This window comes from Homo sapiens, chromosome 7 (assembly GCF_000001405.40).
Source record: "Homo sapiens chromosome 7, GRCh38.p14 Primary Assembly".
NCBI lineage: Eukaryota > Metazoa > Chordata > Mammalia > Primates > Hominidae > Homo > Homo sapiens.
The window spans coordinates 71,312,105-71,338,657 of NC_000007.14; the positions used below are offsets into that span (position 1 = coordinate 71,312,105).

Sequence of the window (26,553 nt, forward strand, 5' to 3'; positions counted from 1 at the left end):
CATGCCTTAATTTGCATGGTATTAAAAAGTGGTTATAAGTATTACTGTAAAATTGCCTCTGAGCTGCACTTCTGGGCAAACTGCCTGGGGTTAGCCCTGCTCTGCAAGGAGCAGGACCTTCGTGCTACTGTGCACTGATGCCTCAATAAAAGTTGCAACACCACCAGCTCATCCTTGAATTTCTTCCTGGGCAAAGCCAACAACCCTCCCAGGCCAAGTCCCAACTTTGGGGCTCACCTGCCCTGCATTACTTCTACCAGCTCTTATCATCCTATTTACCTGCATCAAAACCTTAATGTTAACTCCTGCCGTGATGTCATCACTACTGAAAACTCTTGAAAATTGAGTACAATTATCTGTGATTGTGGATTAGTGTATTCTGAGTACCATAACAAAAGACTGTCTGGTTTAAACAACAGAAATTTTTCTCGCAGATCTGGAGACTGGAAATCCAAGATGAAGGTGCTGGCAGGGTTGGTTTCTCCTAAGGCCATGCTCCTGGGTTTGCAGGTAGTGACCTTCTCACTCCCTCTTCACACAGTCTTTGCTCTGTGTGCATATCTCCCTGGTGTCTCTTCCTCTTCTTAGGGTCCACTTAATGAGCCTCATTTTAACATAGTCACCTGTTTAAAGAGCTCATCTCCAATATGTTTACATTTTGAAGCACAGGGAGTTAGGAATTCAACATAGGTATTTTGATGGGACAAAATTCAGCCCATAACAGCTTGTAAGTGCTATTAAGAAGACTCAGGGCTAGCATTTTGGGAGGTTGAAGCAGGAGGATCAATTGAAGCCAGGAGTTCAAGGCCAGCCTGGGCAGCATAGCAAGACCCCATCACTAAAATAGTAAGAATATTAGCTGGGCATTGTGGTGTGTACCTGTAGTTCCAGCTACTTGGAAGGCTGAGGCAGGAGGATCACTTGAGCCCAGGAGTTTGAGGCTGTAGTGAGCTATGATTCTGCCACTGCACTCCAGTCTGGGGCAACAGAGCGAGACCCCGTATCTTTAAAAATATATATCCCATCCCAGAGTCCACCCTATAGAGAAACCCAAGTATTTTTCCACTTGTTGAACTAGGAACATCTGTGGATATTATGAACATAAATATTTTATTCTAAGCCTCTATTGACCTTTCAATTCTCTGAATCATTGCAAAAATTATTCTCAGCAGTCTTTATTTTTACCACCTCAGCAAAATGATTCTATCTCAGCTCCCTGTCTAGACTTTAAATTCCAGGAAGGCAAGGCTGCATCTTCATACCTTTTTCCTCCAGGTTTCTGAGTGTTGGCAATGACACTCTTTCGGTAAATGGAAATTTGAAAGAGCCAATGAAAAAGAATAATAGTTGAGGAGCAAAGGTTTCTCCTGCAGTGGGCCAACTGTCCGTAGCAACAAAGACACATGGGCAAACAAACAGTGCTTGCTTCTCTTTAGGAAAGAATAATTATTTACCGTGAAAGAAGCTCTGTGAAAAAAAATAACTTCAATGTGTGTCAGGTGAATATCCTGTAAAGGAGACTTTTTGACCTTAAAAAATGGTGAGCCATAGCTCAGTAAAAGCTCATTAGGGAAGAGAGGGAGCTAGTCTGGGGACAGAATGTGTATTGATTGACTCAGAGGTTCTCTGAGTTTCTCTCTATAAAGGCAATTTGCATAACAATGATTACATATTGGGTTTGAGGCAGTTACTGCTCACTGGAGTCCTTCCAGAGTAACTATTTCGGTGGTTGCAGAGCCCCCTCAGAAACCTGGCTTTAAAAGGAAATTAAATGTGAAGGGTTGAGTTGCTGCAGTTGTTAGCCTTGGGAAGGGATTAAAGGGGACGTTTTTGTCATGTGAGATGTCAGGAAAATTCATGAGGAGCTCACTAGGTTGTCTACTTGGAAAAAAACGAACTTCTTCCTAATGGATTTTGAAAAAGATTATTTAATTTGGGTTCACCATTAGCCATTCTGGGCAAGGGATGGAGGCGAATGTTACCCTTCATTCTTGTAGAGAACAGTGAATTGTTCTGTCTTTACAAAACCAAACGCAATTGAAATATTTTTTTATGTGTAATTTATTGCTCTGCAGACAATGGAGTGGAAAAGTTATAGTGGTTAATTACTCCCCAAAACCAGAATATTGAGTGTGTGTGTGAGTGTGTGTCTGTGTGTGTGTGTGTGTCCGTGTCCATGACACAAAACTGCTTCTAATTTATTAGGCAATAGTCATTGGATTAGGCAATGTAAGTATGACATTTGGAGAACAGTGCAGCCCCCCAAAAAAGTAGAATGAACTTTTAGATAAATGAGAGAGAAAGAGAGGGTGTTAGAACTGGATAATGACTCAACAGAGCAAGAGGTCAAGGCCTTTCAGTGCTAGTCAAAGGACCCAAAAAGGCCACTCCAAGCGTGATGGTCATATAACTTGAAGTGGAAACCAGAAAGTCTGGAAAGAAGGACAAAGAGCCCTTCCGATATTTTTGCTCCATGTTCTATTTTTGTTTTGTTTTTTTCTTTTCCATTGTTTTGTTGAGATTAATTTACATCCCATGAAATTCACTCTACTTTGGGAGGCCACAGGAGAAGGATCACTTGAAGCCAGGAGTTTGCAACCAGCCTGGGCAACATAGTGAGACCCCTATCTCTACAAGAAATTAAAAACAAATATTAGCGTGGTGTGGTGGTACATGCCTGTAGTCCCATTACTCTGGAGGCTGAGGTGGGAGGATCGCTTGAGCCCAGGAGTTAAGGACTGCACTGAGCCATGATTGCACAGACACTGCACTCCAGCATTCATTGAGAGCAACAGAGTGATGAGACCCTGTCTGCAACAAAAACAACATCAAAATTCACCTTAAAAAAGTCTACAGTTCACCACTGTCTAATTCTGGAATATTTTTATCACTCTGAAAACAAACATTGTACCCATTGGCAGTCACTCCTCAATCCACCCCTGACTTTGGCAATCACTAATCTATTATTTGTCTCTGGAGTTACCTATTCTGGACACTTCATATATATGGAAGCATACATCTATTTGTTTTTTTGTCGGCCTTTATTCACTTAGCAAAACGACTTCACAGTTTATCCATGTTGTAGCATCTATCGGTACTTCCTTTCTTTTTATAGTCAAATCATATTCCATTGTATGGATACACCACATTTTGTTTATCTATCCAACAGCTGATGGACGTGTGGGTTGTTTTGACTTTTTGGCTGTGATGGATAAGGCTGCTGTGAATCACTTGTGTACAGGTTTTTGTGTGGACATGTTTTCATTGCTGTTGGGTACATACCTAGGAGCGGAATTGTTGGATCATATGGTAATTCCATGTTTCACCTTTGGAGGAAGTACCAGACTGTTTTCTGAAACAGCTGCACCATTTTACATTCCCATCAACAATGTACAAGAGAGCACTTAAAATTGGATCCCCTACCATTTGCCAAGTACCATGCTGTCCTCTTGGTGTGCCTTCCATTATATGGGCTTGTGTTCATTATTCCTCCTTTATAGGATAAGAAATGGAGACTCTGAGAGTTTAACATATATGGGAAGAGAGAAAAAACATGCAATCACTGAGGTTAAGGCTATATGATCAAGTGTGAGACTGGAACCCTGAGGTTCTTCCGCAAGAGTTGGTGGGGAAAATGTTGAGTGCGGCCTCAAGGGCAGGTGCAGAGTGCTGTGAAACATAGAGTCTGTGTTCTTCATAGACTGTTTCCACAGACTCTGACCATCAAGGGCACTTTCTCAGAGGTGGAGGATAACTGGGACATGGAAGGGTGTGTGTCCATGTCCATCACCCTTGAGTGAAATATCCCAACTGTTTTGTTCACCTGCACGTACCTGCAGCCTCCAGATTGAGCTGGGTAGGTCTGTCAACTACGGTGAGAGGGCCATATGATTCTCCTTGGAATGTGAACACAGGGAAACCAACTTATGTAAGGTAATGCAACAAGCAAGCATTGGGCAGAGAGATTGTGTCCAGTGCAACAGCTGGGGCCTCTGCAGGGCCACCAGACTTCCCTCTGTGCTTGCAACTGGAAATGGAGCAGGAGCAAAGGGAGGAAGGCAGGAGCCTCGCAGGCCGCCTGGGGTCCTGATCTGTGGGTCTGATCAGGATCCTGATCTGTGGGTCTGATCAGGATCCTGATCTGTGGGTCTGATCAGGATCCTGATCTGTGGATCTGTGGATCTGATCAGAGGGAGAATGGAACAGGGTGGGCTGGGTCTTGGCTCTGGTCACTCAAGCTGAACAAGGTGGGGTGCGACTGGGAAGTCCTCAAGACCATCTGTACATAGTATCTTCTCACGCCTGCCTCAGATCATTAACCAGCATAGTATTGATCCATAATTTGGTTGTGTTGCTTCTCAATTATTTGTTGGTCTTGCAATTTCTGATTTTGGCTTTGATTATTGTGAGGTTTGCAGCAGAGAAGGATATAAACAAATAGATCCCAAAGTAAAGGGCTCCTCCAGGACTTCTAAATAAGCACCATGTAGCTTGGGCAGCTCCAGCTGACCTGCTGGAGGGAGGAAAGGCTGATGGTACCACCCATACCCGCATACCTAGGGAGGCCTGCTTACTTCACACCTGAAGGGCTTGGCTTTGGCCTGGGCTAAGAGGTGCACACCTGGGAGAGTGACCCTGATACCAGAAAGAAGAGTGATACAGGGATTGTTTCCACGTCCATTCCCTGAAGCTCCTTAGAGATGGAAACTGGCATTTCAATGTTGGGGCCTCTTAGGATGTACATGTTCTGTAGGTCATGAAACCCCTAAAGGGTTCCAGAGCTTTTCCCACCAAAAACAATACATTCAGGATGTTTTTCAAAGACTTTCCACAAACTCTGGCCATTGAGGTTATTTTTTTCAGAGGTGGAGGATAACTGGGGCATGGAAGGTGTGTGTTCACATCCATCTCCCTTGAGTGAAATATCCCAACTGTTTGTCTTGTTCACCTGCACACACCTGCGGCCTCCGGCTTGAGCTGGGCAAGTCTGTTAACCATGATGAGAGACAGGGCCGTATGTTTCTTTATGGAATATTTACCCCCAACGTGCCTGCTGTTTCTTTTTCTCATCTGGGAACTCTAGCAAGGGAAGGAGCTGAAGTCACCTGGAACAGCTAGAGGCAGACCAGGTGAGTGATGGAATAGTGAAGATTGAGGAATCTGCCTGGTCAGATGATGCCTCGTGCTCTGAGAATCACCGTGACACTGAGCTCTTAGGAAATCAGCTTTGTTGGCATGTTCACAGGCAGAATTAGGACCAATATCTAGAAGGTATAAGATGTTGCAGACGTTGATTCTACTTAAAGAGCAATGCCTGATTAGAAACTCAAAGGCTGGGCGTGGTGGCTCTTGCCTGTAATCCCAGCACTTTGGGAGGCCAAGGTGGAAGGATCGTTTGAGGCTGGGACCCAGATAGAACAGCATAAAGATGCTAGCTTAGGATGTGAGCCCAATGGGGCAGGCTGCTCTGGGGGGATCATGGCTGAGTGTGGACCTCTGCAGGTGTTTATTCTAAAGCTGGATTCTGAACTGGCCACAACGTGGAGGGCTGGAGTGGCCTTGGATGATCCTGACAGTCTGGGTTTCTGTGTATTTGGTCATTTCTTATTTATTCAGGGAGTTATTTTTGGTCTGTTGAATTTATCAATTCTCCAAGACGTTGGATTTTACCACTTGTACATCTGGCGGATACACCCTAAGCTAGTGTCTTTATATTACTATATCTGGGTCTGTTTAGATAAAGAAGAATTTGGCTTCTTCCTTTCTTTTTTCTGGTTTCTGTGATGCTGTAGTGCTTTGAGTTTTTATTATTCATAATTTTTGGGGTGGGAGAGGGGGACAGGTTCTCACCCTGTGGCCCAGGCTGGAGTGCAATGGTGTGATTGCAGCTCACTGAAGCGTTGATCTCCTGGGCTCAAGTGATCCTCCTACCTCAGCCTCCCGAATAGCTGGGACCACGCCCGACTAGTTTTTTGTATTCTTTGTTGAGATGGTGTCTCAACATGTTGCCAGACTGGTCTCAAACTCCTGGCCTCAAGTGATCTTCCCACCTTGGCCTCCCAAGTACTGGGATTATAGGCATAAGCCACTGTTCCCAGCCTTTGAGTTTTCAATCAGGCAGTGGGACCTCACATTTTTTCATCTGCATGGGTCACAGGGAATCACAGAACTTAGATAATGCAGGCTTTGGAAATCTGCTGATGTTGGAGACACAGTCATGTCATTCCACATTCTTGCTTATAGCCTCATCTGTCACCAGAAAGAAGAGCAGCTGAGGCATTCTTCCTACGACCATTCCCTGAAGCTCTTTTTTTTTTGTGTGTGTGTGGGGGGTGGGATATAGTCTTGCTTTGTCACCAGGCTGGAGTGCAGTGGTGCAATCTCGGCTCACTGCCACCACTGCCTCCTGGGTTCAAGCGACTCTCCTGCCTCAGCCTCCCGAGTAGCTGGGACTACAGGCATGCACCACCACGCCCAGCTAAGTTTTTTTTTCTTTTGTATTTTTAGTAGAGACAGGGTTTCACCATGTTGGCCAGGATGGTCTCAATCTCTTGACCTTGTGATCCACCCACCTCAGCCTCCCAAAGTGCTGGAATTACAGATGTGAGCCACCTCTTGCGGCCCCCTGCAGCTCTTTGGAGATGGAAACTGGCATTTCAACCTTAGGACCTCTTAGGATGCAGGATGCACATGTTCTGTAATTCATGAAACCCCTAAAGGCTTCCAGATCTTCTCCTCCCAAGAACAATAAATTCAGTACGGAGTTGCAGAGAGGAGCATAGAATCCAAGCGCTCCAGCGGTCTTAGACCTTCTTGAATCCACATCCCCATTGTACGCATGTGAGTTTCTTGTGGAAGGGATCTGTCCAAGGTCATTGGGCTGACCAGGGCTGACCAGGGTGAAGTAGGCCCAGGGATCTAGGTTTCTGGGTTCCTTGGTGTTATCCTAATGTCTGAACCACATCCTCAGCTTGCTGAGCTATTTTTGTTTATCTTTCTTTCTTTCTTTCTTTCTTTCTTTTTTTTGTTCTGTCATGGTAATTGTTTTTCTAGCATGATCACTAGAATAGCAGTAGTTCCACATTTATCTGCCCTCTTACAGCAGACTTTTTGGAAAAATTGCCTCTTTCTGCTGCCTTCTGTTCTTTGCCTCTTGTTCTCTCTTGAATCTACCCAGGTTTTGGTTTTCTGAAATTGGTGCTGTGAACATCACCAATGCATTGGCTTTACCAAATGCAAAGGTCCATTCTTGGAATCTACCATTTCCAGGGTTTCCTTCTACGTTCTTCTGTTTTCTTTGCTTGGCCTTTCTTTTTCTGATTCTATCAGTTGGTGTGTCCAGGGCTCAGTATTCAAACCCCTTTCTCTTTGTGTGTTTCTACTGCCCAGGTCTTCTCCTCAAGGAACTTGTCTTTAAACTCCATTTAGACTGTGGTGAATCCCAATTTTCTATCTCCAATTCTGACTTCTTTCCTGAACTCCCATGTACTTGACAGCTTCATTTGGATGTCTACTAGGCACCTCCAATGTTGTATGTCCCAACCAAACTCTTGATTCCATGTTACATCCCTTCATAACCCAAGTCCCTTTTCTCCCCCTTCTCCATCTCAATCAATAACACCAACATTCAACATCCTTTGTTGCTCAAGCCGTACATGTATAAGTGAGTTGTTCTTGAATCATTTCTTACTCTCACATATCTTTGGGTAAGCTGAGGTTTGGCTGATCTGGGTTTTCAGCTGGGCTTGGTTCTAAGCCACAGATTGGATCTTACTGTTTCATGTGTCTCATGCTTCTTGGATCAGTGGGCATCCCAAAGCATGTTGTCATGGTGATGTCAGGATGAAGAGGCTAGAAGCAGCAATGCAAGCTCATTTCAAGTCTCTGCTCATGACACATCCCTAGTATTTTGTTGGCTAAAGCAAGTCTCGTGGCCAAGCTCAAAGGCTGTGGGTGGGGAAGTACACTCAGCTCAGCAAATGATCAAGTCCAACATTAGTGGCGTGAAGATGTTTTTGTTGAGCAGATACATACTCTCTGCCCTCTTCACATGCATACTCTTCCCCTGAATTGTGTGCATGAGAAGAGGGCAGTCTGCATTTGCTGAACAAAAATGTAATGTGCCACCTCAGATAATTTTTTTTTAAATTGAGATAGTGTCTTGCTCCATCACCCAGGCTAGAGTGCAGTGGCACAATCACAGTTCACTTCAACCTCGACCTCTTGGGCTCAAGCAATCCTCCTCCCTCAGCCTCCCAAGTAGGTGGGACTACAGGTGCATGTTGCTGTGCCCAGCTAATTTTGAAAAAAAAAAAAAAATTTTTTTTTTAGAGATGGAGTCTTGCTATGTTGCCCAGGCTGGTCTTGAACTCCTAGGCTCAGGCAGTCCTCCTGCCTTGACCTCCCAAAGCACTGGGATTACAGATGTGAGCCACCATGCCTGGCATCAGATAAGTTCTTAAAGGAAGAAATCTACATCTAAGTAAATGGGATCTTGCCAAGAGGGTCTTTTTATGAAGAATTGGATGTGTATTTAAAATTGATAGTGCTTCTGAATACCTCTTTAGAACAGATGCTTTATTGTTTCAGATTCTATAAATTAATTAGAGATGATGGTGGTGGTGGTGGGATGTGTGATACTGATGATTTTGAAGAGGGGAGGAAGGTAGCAACATTTTATTAGGGTGATCCGTTTTTGTTCTGCCTTACTCTTCCTTATCCTTCTGATTTCATAATTTACCTTCTATGATATGACCAGAATTGTTGTCACTCAAAATCTCTAATCACTGGGGATGTACCCACGTGATAGCAGAAATTTACATGCTTTTGGGAGAATTGGTGAAGGTTCGTGTCCCACTCTGTCCCTCCTCTTTAGCCCCTCCGATTAGGAATAAAAATGCTAGAAGGAGTGCTTGGAGCATAGTGGAGGAGAGAGAATTTTCTCCAAAAGTTGTTGAGACTGAGAGGGGCTGAGCAAATGCAGCATGTGACCTGGTGTACAGTGTCAAGCACACATTTGATGCTGACAAATTTCTTAGGTCTTGGCAGGGAGAGTGCTTATTCAATTCAGCATATTTCTTACCTGCTCCTAGATCAGCCTTTTTCCCCCTTGTGCAGCTTTATAAATGCTAGGAGGCTAAGTAACACAATTAACCTTTCATCCATCTGCTCTGAGAAAATTCTGAAGGTTCCCAAACTCTTCTTTATTTGGTTAGAAATATTCTTTGCACAGACACTCTTGGGCATATCAGCAGCCAGAGACTGTCCAAGACAGACATACGTGTTTATCTTCTCCTCACACAGGGGGATATTTGTGGCAATGTTTGTTCGGTGCTGAGAGTGAGGTTCGGGCCTTTGAGATCCTCGCCATCACAGTGGCATGAAATCTGAGAGAGCATTGCCTTAAGGCATGCCTGGTGGCCTGAAATACAGAGACCCTGTTCTAGATCTAACACTTCAGAACATTCTTCATTGTCTTCGTGCTTCAATTTTCTCCCCTCCCTCCCTCCCTCCCTTTTTTTGAGACTGAGTCTTGCTCTGTCACGCAGGCTGGAGTGCAGTGGTGCAATCTCAGCTCACTGCAACCTCCGCCTCCCAGGCTCAAGCAGTTCTCTTGCCTCAGCCTCTATATTGGCTAGGCTGGTCTTGAACTCCTGACCTCAAGTGATCTGCCCACCTTGGCCCCCCAAAATGCTCAGATTACAGGCACGAGCCACCACACCCAGCTCCCTCCCTCCTTCCTTCCTTTCCTTCCTTCCTTCCTTTCCTTCCTTCCTTCCTTCCTTCCTTCCTTCCTTCCTTCCTTCCTTCCTTCCTTCCCCTCCCTCCCTCCCTCCCTCCCTTCCTTCCTTCCTTCCTTTTTTTTGAGACAGAGTTTTGCTCTGACACCCAGGCTGGAGTACAGTGGCACAATCATGGCTCACTGCAGCCTCAACCTCCTGAGCTTAAGCAGCTCTCTCACATCAGTCTTCTAAGCAGCTGGGACTACAGGTGTGTGCCATCATGCCTGGCTAATTTTCTTTCATTTTTTTGTAGAGACAGGTCTCATTATGTTGCCCAGGCTGGTCTCTAACTTCTAGCCTCAAGCAGTCCTCCTGCCTCAGCCTCCCAAAGTGCTGGGATTACAGGTGTGAACCATCATGCCTGGCCTCAATTTTCTTATCTGCTGACTGTGGATAAAGCTATTCGGAGGATCAAATTAAATAACCTTTGTAGAGCAATTCCAGGAAGTATAAAGTTCATAATACATGTAAGACATGTCATTTTGAATAAAACCGCAGTTTGAAAATTTATGGAACGTTTGCTCCAAAGGCACTTCAAGCGTCTAACAATGATTCATATCTCTTGGAACTACAAATGCTACATGAGCAGTTCAGTTAATGGGCGAAAATGTACCTCCAGTATTCGTGGCTCTGAGGGAAGCACAAATCTAGAGACCTCTTAGTCCTTGTTTTGTCTTCTAGGACAGAATTTAACAGTGGATCACCATGTGTTATAAACCAAGTTTTGTCCCCCGCTGAAATTCATATTTTGAAGCCCCAAGCCTCATTGTGATGCTATTTGGAGATGAGGCCTTTCGGAGGTAATCAGGTTTATTTGAGGTAATGAAGGTGAAACTCTTATAATGGGATCAGGGTCCTTATAGGAGAGGAAGAGACACAAGCTCTCCCTCTCTCTGTCATGTGAGGATATAGCAAGAATGAGGCCATCTGCAAGCCAGGAAGAGAGCCCTCACCAAGAACCAAATCTGCGTTTACCTTAATCTTGGACTTCCCAGCCTCTAGAACTATGAGACATAAAGGTCTGTTGTTTAAGCCTCTCCATCTATGGCATTTTGATATAGCACCCCTAGCTGGCTGAGATACTGTGGAAAGTATGAAAACATGGTCATATTAAGATGGCTGAAGGAGTGGGTGTGTTTAGCCTGGAAAAAAAAAGAAGATAAAAGGACGGTTAATGATATGTCTTGATAATGTCTTGTAATATTTGAAAATTACATGATAATGATATGTCTTGATAATGTCTTGTAATATTTGAAAATTACATGAAAGTGTAATCTGCATGATTGATGTAGAAGAAAAAAATAAGATCATTGGGTAGAAGAAACAAAGGTACCCATTTTTGAAATTTTATTTATTTGAACTATAAACCAGGAATGCAGTGTACCACAAGGTGGTGGACTCTTTGTCCCTGGGAGAATACAGTATAAGCTGGGTCGCCATCACTCTGGAATTTCTGCACCAAATGGGGTTGTGGGGCTAGCTGACCTCTCCTTTCTTCCAACCCAAGATTCTAAGTTGGACTGCAGGTGTACTAATTGTCCTAATACTTAGGGAACATTTTACTCCATTCTCTTCCACCAAGCAGCAGCTGATACAATTGAACTCTTAAAATTTCATTCAAGATATTAATAACCTTTGGACATCATGTCAGGGAAGCACTGAAAATGCAGGAGGGAAAATGTCAAAATCATCATCATAATTCAGTTGTCAACAAATATCAAGATCATCGTACTGATATATGAACTAGGGAATCAATGATGATTTGACATGAGTTAATGAAACGGCGCTTACCCATTTCTGACATGTCACCAGGAGATTTCTGTATGCACAGTAGAATATGATGCTAAATTTGGCCAGTGCAGTTTATAATGCACTCATTCATTCATTGACTCACTTTGGTCATTCAGCCGTCCAATCGTATCTATGATATTTACGAGGTGTTTGCTATGTGCAAGACACAAAGATGCCTTCCTGTTCACAAGAGACCAGTGCTCACGCAAGTGAGCAGTCAAGGGCACATAGACTATGATATCAGAAATGTTGTGGTTGAGATTTTCACCAGCCTCTGACTTTCTGGGTTGGATAGTGTCCAGAAAGGATTTCCGGGGCTCTGTTGAGTAGCAGGGAAGACTGGCAGTGGTCCTGAAGGGCAGCAGCTTTTTAGAACCATCAGAGGAAGGTTTGGGTACCTTAAACAAAGGAAACAGCAGAGGACGAGGCTGGGCAAGGACTCCACTAATAAGCAGCTTTGCATATTACGTGAAAACTTTGGGATTATTTTCCATAGGCAGCAGGAAGGCACTAATGAATTTCAAGCAAGCAGTGTTCAGATTTGCATGTTGGAAAGCTCACTCCGAAGATGGTGTTAGGAGTTGCCTGCAATAACTCAAGTAAGCGGTGGCTTGAGCTTGCATCTGGGTGGTGGCAGAAGAGATGGAGAGGTGAGAATAGGGTCAGGAGATATTCAGAGTTCACACCAAGAGGCCCAGCACAGTGGCTCACACCTGTAATCCTAACACTTTGGGAGGCTGAGGTGGGCAGATCACCTGAGCTCAGGAGTTCAACACTAGCCTGAGCAACATGTCTTAACTTGGTCTCTACTAAAAACACACACACACAAAATAAGCTGGGCATGGTGGCATATGCCTGTAATCCCAGCTACTTGGGAGGTTGAGGCAGGAGAATCGTTTGAACCCAGGAGGTGGAGATTGCAGTGAACCGATATCATGCCACTGCACTGCAGCCTGGGTGACAGAGTGAGACCTTGTCTCAAAAAAAGGAGTTAGCACCAAGAGTCATTTGAGTAACAATTTAAAAAATATTATATTTATTAATTTAATGTATATATGAATTTAAAAATATATGCGTGCGTGTATATATATATACACATACGCATGTGAATTTAAAAATATACATATAGCACACATATTTAGCATAAATTTTGTGTACATGTAATAATTGAAGTGCTTATTATAGTGCTTTGTGTCTAATAGACATTTGTCATTTGAACTAATTATCACTAATAATTGTATCCAAAATGGGGCTATCTTTTCTTTTGGCAATATTTCCTGACAAGCTCTTGTGTTCCATTGATCTTGCCTATCCTTTCCTAGTCCATTATTTCACCTTCTTAATTATTGGAGTTTTTCAGTGTGTGTTAATAGCTGGAAGGATAAACTGTATTTTTCAGATACTTACCTTTATTACCATACTGGATTCTAAGAGGTGGCTCCTCAAACCCCCAGGAGTACATTGAAATTGGCCAGGAGTAAACCTGGAATGTTGCTCACTGTTAAGCTTATGGCTGCAATGGCTGCAATTTGTGCATTGTCTATAAGTTTTATTGACTTCCAGATGATCTAGCATAAGGTAGGATCTCCCTGAGACGCGGACCGGCAGGAGGGCTCTGGCCTCTCTGCAGAAACTTCCAAACAAATGCCTGCCCAGTGGAAGACGGGCTGCATGACATGCTGGCTCTTTGGCTTAGAGAGAGAGAGATTTACTGCATGCTGGGCTGGGGCTGCTGAGATGATGAGGAGCTTTATGAGTTGACAAGGCACCAGATTGCATTTTGCTGTGGTCACCATCTATCCTGGAGTTTGTGCCTCCATCGTGTGTACCATCTCTATTTCTAAAAGAATAATGCTGGTTATCTGTAAACCCATAAGTTTCCGCTGTAACCCTGGAGAAAATCATGTCCTCATTTGTATGAAGGAAGGTGGGAAGGCAGCTCAGAGTCAATTTACAACCTTGACTCTTTTGTTTTGCCACCACCATCGAGCCTTCATAGCTTGGGCTGAACTTAACCACAGACATCGGCAGAGTGATGTGCTCTTGCTGAGCGGTGATCAACCGTGTGGCCCTCAGAGGATTTCTGGGTTCTGTGTGAGATGGAGCTGCTCCATCATTCACACAAGATGTCGTGCAAAAATGAGTCGTTGGCTTGCCTGCACTAGAAGGGAATTTCTAAAATTTCAAAAGTGGAGGTTATTTTTATTTATGTTTCAAAAACTGGATGACTACCTGAGAAAACATATATTTTACAGCCTCACCTGCCAACGTATATTTAAAATTTCCTCCCAGTCTTCATACCACTTTAGTGATTATTGCTTTATTTTCTAGCTTAATATCAGAGAAGGCTACCCCTTTTCTGTCTTTTGTTTTTTTAAAACAATTCTAAATTTTCTAACGTCTGTGTTCTTCTAGGTTAATTTTAGAACGTTTTATTGTGTTGCAGAAAAAAAAATCCCCTTTGAAATTATGTGAAACCTATGTATTAAAAAGGCAGTGGATGGGTACAGTGGCTCATGCCTGTAATCCCAGTACTTTGGGAAGCTGAGGCGGGGGGATCGCTTGAGTCCAGGAGTTTGGGACCTGCTTGGGCAACATAGGGAGACCTCATCTCTACAAAAGTTAAGAAAATTAGCCATGCAGGATGGTGCATGACTGTATTCCTAGCTTCGCAGGAGGCTGAAAAAAGGAAGATCCCTCGAGCCCAGTAGCTCAAGGCTGCAGTGAGGTAAGATCACCCCCACTACACTCCAGCCTGGGTGACAGAGTGAGACCCCAACTCGAAAGAAAGAAAGCAAGAAAGAGAGAGAGAGAGGATCTCCTAACAATCTCCCAACATTCCAACTTCCAACTCAAAGACGTGTTCTTCTCTGCCACTTATATATGTCTTATTTTATTGCATTTAGTAAAATTTTCAAATATTCTTCTTACTGGTTAAAGTTATTCCTAGGTATACTGTAATATTTGTTACTTTTAGAAATAGATTTACTTACATTGTATATTCTAGTTGGTTTTTGCTGAATTAAAAAACACTATTAATATGAGATGTCTACTTGCCCCAGCCTGGGCATCCTTTTCTAGTGACAGCTGTATCTCGTGACTCATTTCCTTATCACCCTAGAAACACTTACTTCACTGACACTGTCTCAGAGGTCACCAGTGCCTTTCATTGCCACACCAAAGGGCTCTTTTCAGGCTTAATTCTCTGTGACATTCATCAGTAGAGATTCTCTTCTTTGTGACCATAAATATACTACAATATTTAATATATTCAACACCTCTTTTCCTATTAGATGCTTTCCTTATGGATATTTAATTTGCTTTCTTAAAGTGAAATACTCAGTTTGTAATAGATGGCCTGAAGCTGGTTCTCCAGATCTAATCTCTATTCATCCATCTACCTAACAGTTTTTAAGAACTCTTTGTGTGTCAGGCACTGGAGGTGACCACATGTATGCCATTAAGGAGAGCACCTAAACATGGGACCACAGGAGAAGTCTTCCAGTTGTGATTGGTAGTACATCAGTCCCTTTTCACGCTGCTGATAAAGACATACCCAAGACTGGGTAATTTATAAAGAAAAAGAGGTATAATGGACTCACAGTTTCACATGGTTGGGGAAGCCTCACAATCATGGTGGAAGGGGAAAGGCATGTCTTACATGGCAGCAGACAAGAGAGAATGAGAGCCAATTGAAAGGGGAACCCCTTACAAAACCATCAGCTCTCATGAGGCTTATTTACTACCACGAGAACAGTATGGGGAAAACTGCCCCCGTGATTCAGTTATCTCCCACTGGGTCCCTCCCACAACATGTGGGAATTATGGGAGCTACAATTAAAAATGAGATTTGGGTGAGGACATAGCCAAACCATATCAGGTAGGATGCTGTATCTGTGAGGATACAGATACAGCATCAAGACTTTCCTTTCTGGCAGGAGACAGGTAGCACACTCAGAAGGGGCAATTAAAGAGAGGTTACCAAAATATTTACAAAGATTGTGAAGGGTTAAGGGAAACCAATAAGGAATGACAAGGGTTAGTGAATGACCCCAGGGCTAGCAACAGAGAGGGAAGAAATTGCCACCCTAAGGTCTGCAGAGGCAAGAGGAGGGAGTGGTTAACAGAATGCAAGGATAGCTGTAAACCTAAGAGAGGCATGCCTGATAACAACTGGATTATAGAAGATTTAGTACCTTCTACTAAACCCCAGCCCAGTAGGGAAAGAGATGGGAGAATAAGTACACCTCTCTCTCTTTCCATCCATCTGTCAAGAAGTGTCCTTATGTTGCCTCCTATTGGTTCATCTCAACCCAAAGCCAGGGGGGCAGGTGAACCTATAGCTGTCCCTATAGGTCTTTCTCCTAGAGTATGCAACTGGGAGAAAAAGGATGGAGAATAGATCTGGAGTGAAGCATGAAGGATATTTGATATGGTTGCAGTAGGATGACTGACCTTAATCTGTCCTTCCTCTCTTTATCTTCGAGTTCTTACCTAATAGTGCCACTTGGCTTTAACTGTCGTCAGCTGTTAGGTGCAAAAGTTATTGCTGTCTTTGCCATTACTTTTAGTGGCAAAAACGACAATTAGTTTTGCACCAACTTAATAAAATAACTCAGGCGGAAAAGAAGGGAACAATGAATTCTCGCAGGCCTGGTGCCAAGAAGCCACCCCATTCTCTTCCTGCTTTCTCTCTTTGCTGCTGCTTCTCCCCCTTTGACTTTGTGACTACTCTGCCTACAAGTTCAGTTTCATTCCTCAAAGATTGCGGCTGCCTCTGACGACTGAGCAAGGGGCACTTGCAGAAAAGAAGGTTTCTTGGGTACACGAAATCATCCCAACTTGCTCCAACGGCAACCTTTCCTGGCTAAGTTAAGACCAACTTGAGTTCGGCTGGTGGACTTGAACTCTTATTTATCTTTGCCAACAGTTTCTGGGGCCTGCAAAATAAGCACGTTAAAATACCAGTGATTTTTTTTTTTTTTTTTGCTGCTTTGTTGAACCTTTGTGGCAGATTAAGTGGGGGTGAAAATGGAAGCACATGGACCAAAAAATATGTAATTCACAGGTGTCACATCGCACTGTGAGGAATGATCTTTTTGGAGGCTGTTAAGTGAATGCCTTTCATAATGGAAGCAATAATGCCACATAAGGAGAAAAAAATCTCATTGGGACCATCATTCCCTGTGTCTCCTTGGTGGGATATGCATGCATGCTTAGTCTTAATTTCTATACTGTTTTATAAAAAAAATTCTCCTTCTGGCCCCTCTGACTGCATTGGAAAGGCTGCCCAGGGGGTTGTGCTAGGCAAACACATCTGAAATGCATTTTAGCTCTAAGGTGGAATTTAATGACTTGGGATTGGAAGCTCTCTATTTAGATGGAACAAAAGATATGCTGTATCGTCAAGTGAAGAAAAAGACAAGCCAACCCAACCACACAGATTAAGTTAGAGGAAGAATCAGAGGTTTTTCTGTGGAAGCTGCCCAGTTAAGTCAAAGGTCAGGAATTCTGTCCCATTCTGATAGTGTCTCTTGCCTTGACCCTTGGGAGTGTGTGGCTTGTGAGGGGAAGTTAGCAAGTACTGGGGAAGGGAAAGGGAAAATCCAGGGCGAATGAGTAAGAGCACACAGAATAAAGAGGAAAAAAGCATGCTTGGTAGTCTTTTAGCTGTCTTTTTCATCATGCAGTATTGGACACATTATATGTATGACCTATATATGTCAGGCTGTAATCGTACACTGAGGAACAGCTGTGCCCATCTCGCAGCTTTACAGTGGAGCGTGTCTGTATTAGTCCGTTCTCCTACTGCTATTAAAAACTACCCGAGACTGTGTAATTTATGACGAAAAGAGGTTTAATTCCCTCACTTCCGCAGGCTGTACAGGAAGCATGGTTTGGAGGCCTCAGGAAACTTAGAATCATGGCAGAAGGCGAAAGGGAAGCAGGCACAATCTTCACATGGACAGAGCCAGGAGAGAGAGAGAGAGAGAAGGGGGAAGTGCTACACACTTTTAAACAACCAGGTCTCATGAGAACTCACTCTATCACAAGAACAGCAAGAGGGAAATTCGACCCCATGATGTAGTCACCTCCCATCAGGTCCCTACCCCAACACTGGGGATTATAATTCAATATGAGATTTGGGTAAGGAGACAGAGCCAAGCCATATCAATGGCCATATACCTTGGAGGTCCTTTGGGTGTCCTCCAAGAATATATATATGTATATATATATGTATGTGTGTGTGTGTGTATATATATACACACATATGTGTGTGTGTATATATATACGTATATGTGTGTGTGTATATATATACATATATGTGTGTATATATACATGTATATATATTTGAGATAGAGTCTTGCTCTGTTGCCCAGGCTGGAGTGCAGTGGTGTGGTCTGAGCTCACTGCAGCCTCCATCTCCCAGGTTCAAATGATTCTCCTGCCTCAACCTCACAAGTAGCTGGGACTACAGGTGCACACCACCACACCCGGTTAATTTTTGTATTTTTAGTAGAGACAAGGTTTCACCATGTTGACCAGGCTGGTCTTGAACTCCTGACTTCAAGTGATCCGCCCGCCTTGGCCTCCCAAAGTGCTGGGATTACAGGCATGAGCCACCGTGCCCGGCTGGACAAGTGGGATTTCTGAAGTCAAACAGGAAACTTGAACACTTAGTTATTTTTTTTCCAGAGATAAGGTCTTCTTATTTTTTATTTTATTTATTTATTTTCAAAGACAGGGTCTCACTCTGTCATCCAGGCTGGAGTGCAGTGGTGTAATCATAGCTCATTGCAGGCTTGAACTCCTGAGCTCAAGCAATCCTACCTCCTCAGCCTCTCAAGGAGCTGGGACTATAGGCACAGGCCACCACACTGGCTAATTTGTTTATTTTTTGTAGAGATGGTGTGGGGTCTCATTATGATGCCCAGGCTCCTCTCCAACTCCTGGGCTCAAGCAGTTCCTCTGCCTCGGCCTCCCAAAGCACTGGGATTACAGGCATGAGCCTCTGCACTTGGCCTGCTTGCTTCTTATTAAGACATTTCTCTCTTCCTTAAGTCTCAGTCTCTTGAAGTCTTGGGGTTCAAATATAGCATAACTGAGAGGCCGTGCATATAGAGCAGAAAAGAAAAAAGTTTCGCCGGATGCAATTCCTCCTGTTTGGTGGAAATAGACAAGGGATAGGGTAGTCAGTGAGCACTTGCTGAACATTGCCTATCCTTCCCCTTCTTGCTCCTGGGCTCTCCTCTCTGCACCCTCTGCCACGGCTCTAGCCTGCTTGTCCTGATGGCAGTGAGGTTTGTATCTCAGGCCACCTCTGCTGTCTGAACCTCCATTCTCATGTGCTTCAATTTTCCACTGGACTCTGACGCCATCTGGATGTCCCACGGATGCCTCGTGTACCACATGTGAAGAATGGAACTCATTGTCTTCTCACACTCTCTTCTGTATGCCCTGTCTTTTTGGGCAGTGTTATCACTCACCTGGAAACTCAGTTTTGCTCAGTTCCTCCTTCTCTTTCAGCCTTATCTCTTGTTTATCTCCTACCCTGGGATGGTATCTCTTAAACAACCCTCAAATCTCTCCATTCCTTTTGATCACTGACCGCTGCCTTAAAATAAGCTTCCTGCCATCTCTCGCACAGGCTGCTGCAAGAATTCTGCAACAGGTCTCATAATCTGCCTCAGAGCCCGGCCTTTATCCTCCTTTAATTGCCATGGAACCTTTAAAAAGTTCCTATATTTGGCCAGGTGTGGTGGCTCACGCCTGTAATCCCAGCATTTTGGGAGGCCAAGGTGGGAGAATCATTTGAGGCCAGGAGTCTGAGACCAGCCTGGGGCACCATAGCAAGACCCCATCTATACAAAATTGTTTTAAAAAATTAGCTAGGTTAGTGTCACGCACCTGTAATTTCAGGTACTTGGGAGGCCGAGGCAGGAGGATTGCTTGAGCCCGGGAGTTCAAAGCTGCAGTGAATGCGCTGTGATTATACCACTGCACTCCAGCCTGGGTGACAGAGTGAGACCATCCCTTAAAAAAAAAGTTCCTACGTTCCTACATTCTCAGACCCAGTGTCCTCGTTTGTGAAACAGAGATTGTAATAATACCTTCCCCCTGAGCTTGTCACGGGATTAGATGAGACAATGGTAGAATAAAAGTGAAAAATTGCTAAATTGCCCACCACATAGTGAGTACTGAATAAATGGTTGCTGTCACTACTGTTAGTGCCTGGGGTCAGTCCTTGTGCTGTTATTGGCCACACTTCAGATCTTGTTACTTTCCTTCTTTATTTGTCACTTATAGATAAAAAGCTAAAGTCAAGGGACCTAGGGCTGCAGAATGACTTTTGTGGGCCCAGAGACTTTAGCCTAGATGGGCTCCTTCCTCCATATAAAATACTAAAAATTAGATTTTATGACCCTGTTTCTATGATTGTCTTGAGTACTCTCTGAAGAGCTTGTAATCTTAAATGGCAATTCTCTGATCTCTGGAGACTGTGTAAATTCAGACAAACATATGTGTAGTCTCAAGTCCTGGATTGCAATTTTTGCCCCTAGTTCTGAGCATATCCATCTTCTTGTTTGTCTCATTACGCTGTTCCTTGGATTTGGGGAAAAAAAAAAATCCAGTCTTTCAGGGACCTAAATTTTTGCAGATATTTCAGTTTCAATGATATTTCTCAAGAGAACCCAAAATCTCATATCCTGTGCACGCTTGAGCTCTGAAACTGCAGCTTTTAGTTAATGAGCAACTCATCCTCTCCCTCTCTGAGAGCAGACATAGACTCAACTCCGATTTTAACTTACCTTGAGGAGTTTCCCTTTCTTTCTTGCAAGGTCACCTATATATTTTAAATATTTTAAAATCGTTTTATTGAGTGTTTTTAGGTATCTTGCTGGAAAATTCTCATGTTGGATAGCCTTTCATCTTGCTGTGAATAGAATTGTCTATCATAAGTGTTCTTTTCTTAACAACTGGTTTGAGTTTTTGTTTGTTTTTGTTTGTTTGTTTGTTTTGTTTTTGTTTTTGAGATGAGGTCTTGCTTTGTTGCCCAGGCTGGAGTGCAGTGGCGCAGTCTTGGCTCACTGCAACCTCTGCCTCCTGGGTTCAAATGATTCTCCTGCCTCAGCCTCCCGAGTAGCTGGGATTACAGGCATGCACCACCACACCCAGCTAATTGTATTTTTAGTAGAGACGGGATTCATCATGTTGGCCAGGCTGGTCCCGAACTCCTGACCTCAAGTGATCCGCCCACCTCAGCCTCCCAAATTGCTGGGATTACAGGCGTGAGCCATGGCCCCCAGCCATACTGAGATATACAGCTCATATCACTCATCTATTTAAAAGCGTACAGTTTAGTGGCTTGTAGTATCTTCACAAATTTGTGCACCCATCACCATGAGCTAATGCTGTCACATTCCCATTACTCCAGGAAAAAGTGCTATACATATTAACAGTCACTGTCCATTTTCTCCCCAAGTTCCCCCTTCCCTACTGAAAGCAACCATGGATCTACTTTCAGGTTATACAGATTTACCTATTCTGTACATTTCACATAAATAGAATCACTATATGGTCTTCCGTGACTAGCTTCATTTACTTGTCATAACATTTTCAAAGTTCACTCATGCCATAGCTTGTATCACAACTTCATTCTTTTATATTGCCCAATATTCCATTGGTCTGGAGATACTATATTTTGTTTCTCCAGTCATCAGTTGATGGACATTTAGCTAATAAGAATAATGCAACTGTGAGCATTTGTGCACAAGTTTTTTTGGGGACGAATGTTTCCATTTTTCTTGGGTGGAAATTTCTTAGGAGTGGAATTGCTGGGTCATATGGTAACTATATTTAGCATTTTTTGTTTTTGTTTTTGAGACAGAGTCTTGCTCGGTCACCCAGGCTGGAGTGCAGCTGTGGGATTTTTGCTCATTGCCTCCTAAGTAGCTGGGACTACAGGTGCACATCACCACACTCGGCTAATTTTTGTATTTTTAGTAGAGACTGGGTTTCACCATGTTGGCCAGGCTGGTCTCGAACTCCTCAGGTGATCACCTCAGCCTCCCAAAGTGCTGGGATTACAGGCGTGAGCCACTGTGCCCAGCCTATATTAAGCATTTTGAAGAACAGCCCAACTGTTTTCCAAAGTGGCGGGACAACTGTACATTCCCACTAGTAATGTTGCATCACAAGTGATTTTAAAACCAAGCACAGGTGTTTGTACTCAACATGGGAAGAATCTTTGTGGAGTTTTGAGCAGAGTTCAGGGGTTGTCATTTGAAGATGTGTTACACATCAGTGTGGAAGCAGATTCAGCATGAGGGAGCAGGTAGAAAGTGCTGGAGTACTCTAATTCTCCGCCGATAGGGTCTCTATGGAGATGGTGGCAGCAAGAAAAGATACCAGGATTCCTGAAGAGCATATTGGACGGTGGAAATGATTCTCAAGCAGAGAAATGATGCTCGTCTGACGGTGCTCGTTCAACCTTTGCTTTTGATCTTGGTATTACAGAAAATAAATTTCTGTTTTCAGAGAAGCAGGAGAGGGAATACAAGCTTTGCCACTAGGTGATGGGGAACCGTCTCACTACCGGAGCAGGTTTCCTGGCTCTTGACTTGCTTAGGGGATGTCTTCGTGGGAGATTTGGATCCTTCTGGGCGCTTCCGGCTGCCCAGGCTGTGAAAGCCAAGGAGGCTGGTCCTTCTTTCTGTCAGTGGCAGCAATGAAACACTGGATATTGGATCTCCATCATTTAAATGGATAAAGTGGTGTGTGTGTGTGTGATTGTGTGTGTATGTGTGTATGTGTGCTGAGTAGCTGGAACATTTGAAATGGCAGAAGGCAATGAGAACCCTTAACAACAAAAGTTTTCTAGTTAAGTAATAAAACCTCCCATAACTCCAGGATTTAAAAATTGCCCATCAAGCTGTTTATCCTCTAATGGAATAATAGGTTTAAGGTGTCACCATCCTGGGAGCTTGCAATTGCTCAGTGAGGCTTGTTACAGAGGCCTCCAAGTCTACTTGGCACTGTTATCACCCGTGTGGGTTTTTTCCTCTCCTCTGTGATTTATTCTCAAACATTTTGTATTTCCTCTTGCCATTTAGATAAAATTTAAATAAAACCATTAGGGAAAGAGCTGTGTCAGAATGTTGGACCCTTTAAACTCAAGATAAAAATCAATCTGTATGTCACTTTCTGTTCAAATGAAGCAAAAGCATCTGCAGTTTGGCAGTTATCTGTGACTTGCTGTTTTTATTCTGTGCTATTTCTTCTTGCTGTAGTTCCTCCTAGCAAAAGGGAAACAGGCGTGAATAATGGCCCCAGTTCTGTCTCATTTCCTATGTCCTCTTTCGTCCTCATTTCTCCCAGTTTAGATGGTCTCTCCCTTTTACAGACCCCCATCTCATCCCAGTCCCCAAAAGGAGAGAGAGGATTCTTTTATATTTATTTATTTATTTTTTTGAGACAGAGTCTTGCTCTATTGCCCAGGCTGGAGTGCAGTGGTGTGATCTTGGCTCACTGCAACTTCTGTCTCCTGGGCTCAAGAGATTCTCCTGCCTCAGCCTCTCGAGTAGCTGGGACTACAGGTGTGCACCACGACGCCCAGCTAATTTTTGTATTTTTTGGTAGAGACAGAGGGAGAGGATTCTAACCAGACTTTAACCCCAGAACTCTCTGTGACCTTGACCTTCCTCTCAATGGAAATGTTTTCAGGGCCTATACCTGAGTTGGATAAATTGAGGACATCATTTTTTCTGTGACAAGTAATGTTAAAATGTCTGTTGAAGCTGCAGCGGAGATTGAGTAATACATCCTGGTATGGTGGTTTTCTAATAATTCTTTTTTCTCCCACTTTTTCTAGGCTTATCCAAATCCCTTGGGCTCATTGAAGGTTATGGTGGGCGGGGTAAAGGGGGCCTTCCGGCTACTCTTTCCCCGGCTGAAGAAGAAAAGGCTAAGGGACCCCATGAGAAGTATGGCTACAATTCATACCTCAGTGAAAAAATTTCACTGGACCGTTCCATTCCGGATTATCGTCCCACCAAGTAAGTTCTGGTTCAGTCATTTGCGGAGCTTGATGGGTCGTCAGAGTGGGTGTAGACCCCTACGTTTGTGATATTTTCCACTGTTATTTGTAACTCTTGGGGGAGTTTTTATTTTAGTTTCCTCTTTAATAAATAAACTTAGTACTCCTGTTGCATATGAAAGATTAGCTAAACAAAAAAGTTCAGTTGTTATCAAAGTGTTCCAGAAACATATAGAAAGAGCCTCAATACAAAAAGCTTTGTATTTTAATTCTTCTTCTTCTTCTTCTTCTTCCTTCTTCTTCCTTCTTCTTTCTTCCTTTTTTTTTTTTTTTTTTTTTTTTTTTTTGAGACAGAGTGTCGCTCTTGTTGCCCAGGCTGGAGCGCAATGGTGCGATCTCAGCTCACCGCAACCTCCGCCTTTTGGGGTTTAGGTGATTCTCCTGCCTCAGCCTCCCGAGTAGCTGGGATTGCAGGCATGCACCACCACACCTGGCTAATTTTGTATTTTTAGTAGAGATGGGATTTTATGCCTTTGGTCAGGCTGATCTCGAACTCCTGACCTCAGGTGATCTGCCCGCCTTGGCCTCCCAAAGTGCTGGGATTACAGGTGTGAGCCACCACACCCAGCCATTATTATTCTTTTAATGTTTATTTTATGTTCAGGGGAACATGTGTAGGTTTGTTATATAGGTTAATTGCATGTCACAGGGGTTCAGCGTACAGATCATTTCATCTCCCAGATAACACCATAGATAGTTTCTTGATTCTTACCCTTCTCCCTCCCTCCACTTTCAAGTAGGCCTCATGTCTATTGTTCCCCTCTTTATGTCCATGTGTACTCGTCGTTTAGCCCCGACTTATAAGTGAGAACTGGTGGTATTTGGTTTTCTGTTCTGAGTTAGTTTGCTTAGGACAATGGCCTCCAACTCCAGGTTGCCGCAAAGGACATGATGTCATTCTTGTTTATGGCTGCGTAGTATTCCATGGTGTATATGTGCCACATTTTCTTTATCCAGTCTACTATTGATGGGCATTTAGGTTGATTCCATTTCTTTGCTACAGTGAATAGTGCTATAATGAACATACCTGTGCATGTGTCTTTATGATAGAACAATTTATATTCCTTTGGGTATATACCCAGTAATGGGATTGCTGGGTCAAATGGGTCTGCTTTGAGTTCTTTGCGGCTTCACCAAATTGCTTTCTACAATGGCGGAACTAATTTACATTCTCACCAGCAGTGTATAACCATTACCTTTTCTTCACAACCTCTCCAGCATCTGTTATTTTTTTTACTTTTTAATGATAATCATTATGACTGGTTGAAATGGTATCTCATTATGGTTTTGATTTTCCTTTTTCTAAAAAAAAATCACCATGATCTCATCCCTTGGGGACAGCATCTATTGAAGTTTTAGTGTATTGTCTTTGAGTCTATTTTCTATACAGATTATGAGCCTATGATATCTCACTTTTTCCCTTTTTCATTTAACATTAAATCGTGAGTATTTTCTGATGTTATTGATGATCTGTTTCCATTGTTGGAAATTTAGGTTATTTTCAATTTTTCATTATTATATATAACATTCTATTGAATATTTTTTCACTCATATCTTTATATGTTTTGATTTGATATTTATTTTCTGAATCCACACTTCTAAAGGTATATAGTAGAGGGATATTTTTGGAGATTCTTGATACGTATTATAATATTTTCCTCCAGAAAATCTATAGTAATTCTACTCTTGTTAGAATTTTACTAGACCCTTCCAATACTGGGTACTAGCATGTAAAAAATGCCAAACTGATAGGTTATTGTTTCAACTTACACTTTTTTGCATGAGATTCTTGCCTTTTAAAAAGCGTGAGGCTGGCAGGGCACGGTGGCTCACGCCTGTAATCCCAACACTTTGGGAGGCTGAGGAGGGTGGATCACGAGGTCAGGAGTTTGAGACCAGCCTGGCCAAGATAGCAAAACCCCGTCTCTACTAAAAATACAAAAATTGGCTGGGCGCGGTGGCAGGCTCCTATAATCCCAGCTACTCGGGAGGCTGAGGCAGGAAAATCACTTGAACCAGGGAGGCAGAGGTTGCAGTGAGCCGAGATCACACCATTGCACTCCAGCCTGGGTGACAGAGCGAAACTCCATCTCAGAACAAACAAACAAACAAACAAACAACAACAACAAAAAAACTTGGGGCTGAGTATGGTGGCTCACATCTATAATCCTAGCCCTTTGGGAAGCCAATCGCTTTGGGCAGATCGCTTGAGCCCAGGAGTTCGAGATCAGCCTGGGCAACATGGCAAAGCATTGTCTCTACAAAAAACCTAAAAATTGCGAGGTGCGGTGGCCTGTAATCCCAGCACTTTGGGAGGCCGAGGCGGGCGGATCACGAGATCAGGAGATCGAGACCATTCTGGCTAAGATGGTAAAACCCCGTATCTACTAAAAATACAAAAAATTAGCCGGGCGTGGTGGCGGGCGCCTGTAGTCCCAGCTACTCAGGAGGCTGAGGCAGGAGAATGGCGTGAACCCGGGAGGCGGAGGTTACAGTGAGCCAAGATAGTGCCACTGCACTCCTGCCTGGGCGAAAGAGCGAGACTCCGTCTCAAAAAAAAAATAAATAAATAAAAAATAAATAAATATATATATATATAAATTAGCCAGGTGTGGTGGTGGTGCATGCCTATATAGTCCCAGCTACTCCTGAGGCTGAGGGTCACCTGAGTCTGGGAGGTCAAGTCTGCAGTAAGCCATCGTGGCACCACTGCATTCCAGCCTGAGGAAGAGAGTGAGACACTGTCTAAAAACTATTTGTGTGCATCTTGGTTGGATTATGAGAGGTCTTTATTTTGTGCTCTCAGATTTAAGAATTACTTATTTTCTGCTTGTAAAATAGACAAAAGAGGATGGACATAGTGTCAAGATGCTGGAGAGAAAA

At 43.4% G+C, this 26,553-nt stretch overlaps 1 protein-coding gene across 4 annotated transcripts in view; it reads left to right on the forward strand.

Annotated features, from left to right (window-relative positions):
- Positions 1 to 26,553, forward strand: part of GALNT17 (polypeptide N-acetylgalactosaminyltransferase 17) — a 581,456-nt gene that overhangs the window by 179,961 nt on the left and 374,942 nt on the right. For all 4 annotated transcript variants that reach the window (NM_022479.3, XM_011516467.4, XM_017012521.3 and 1 more), the window contains exon 2: positions 23,446 to 23,629. In NM_022479.3, coding sequence (NP_071924.1) covers positions 23,446 to 23,629 — 184 coding nt within the window. The remainder of the gene's footprint in view (positions 1 to 23,445; positions 23,630 to 26,553) is intronic.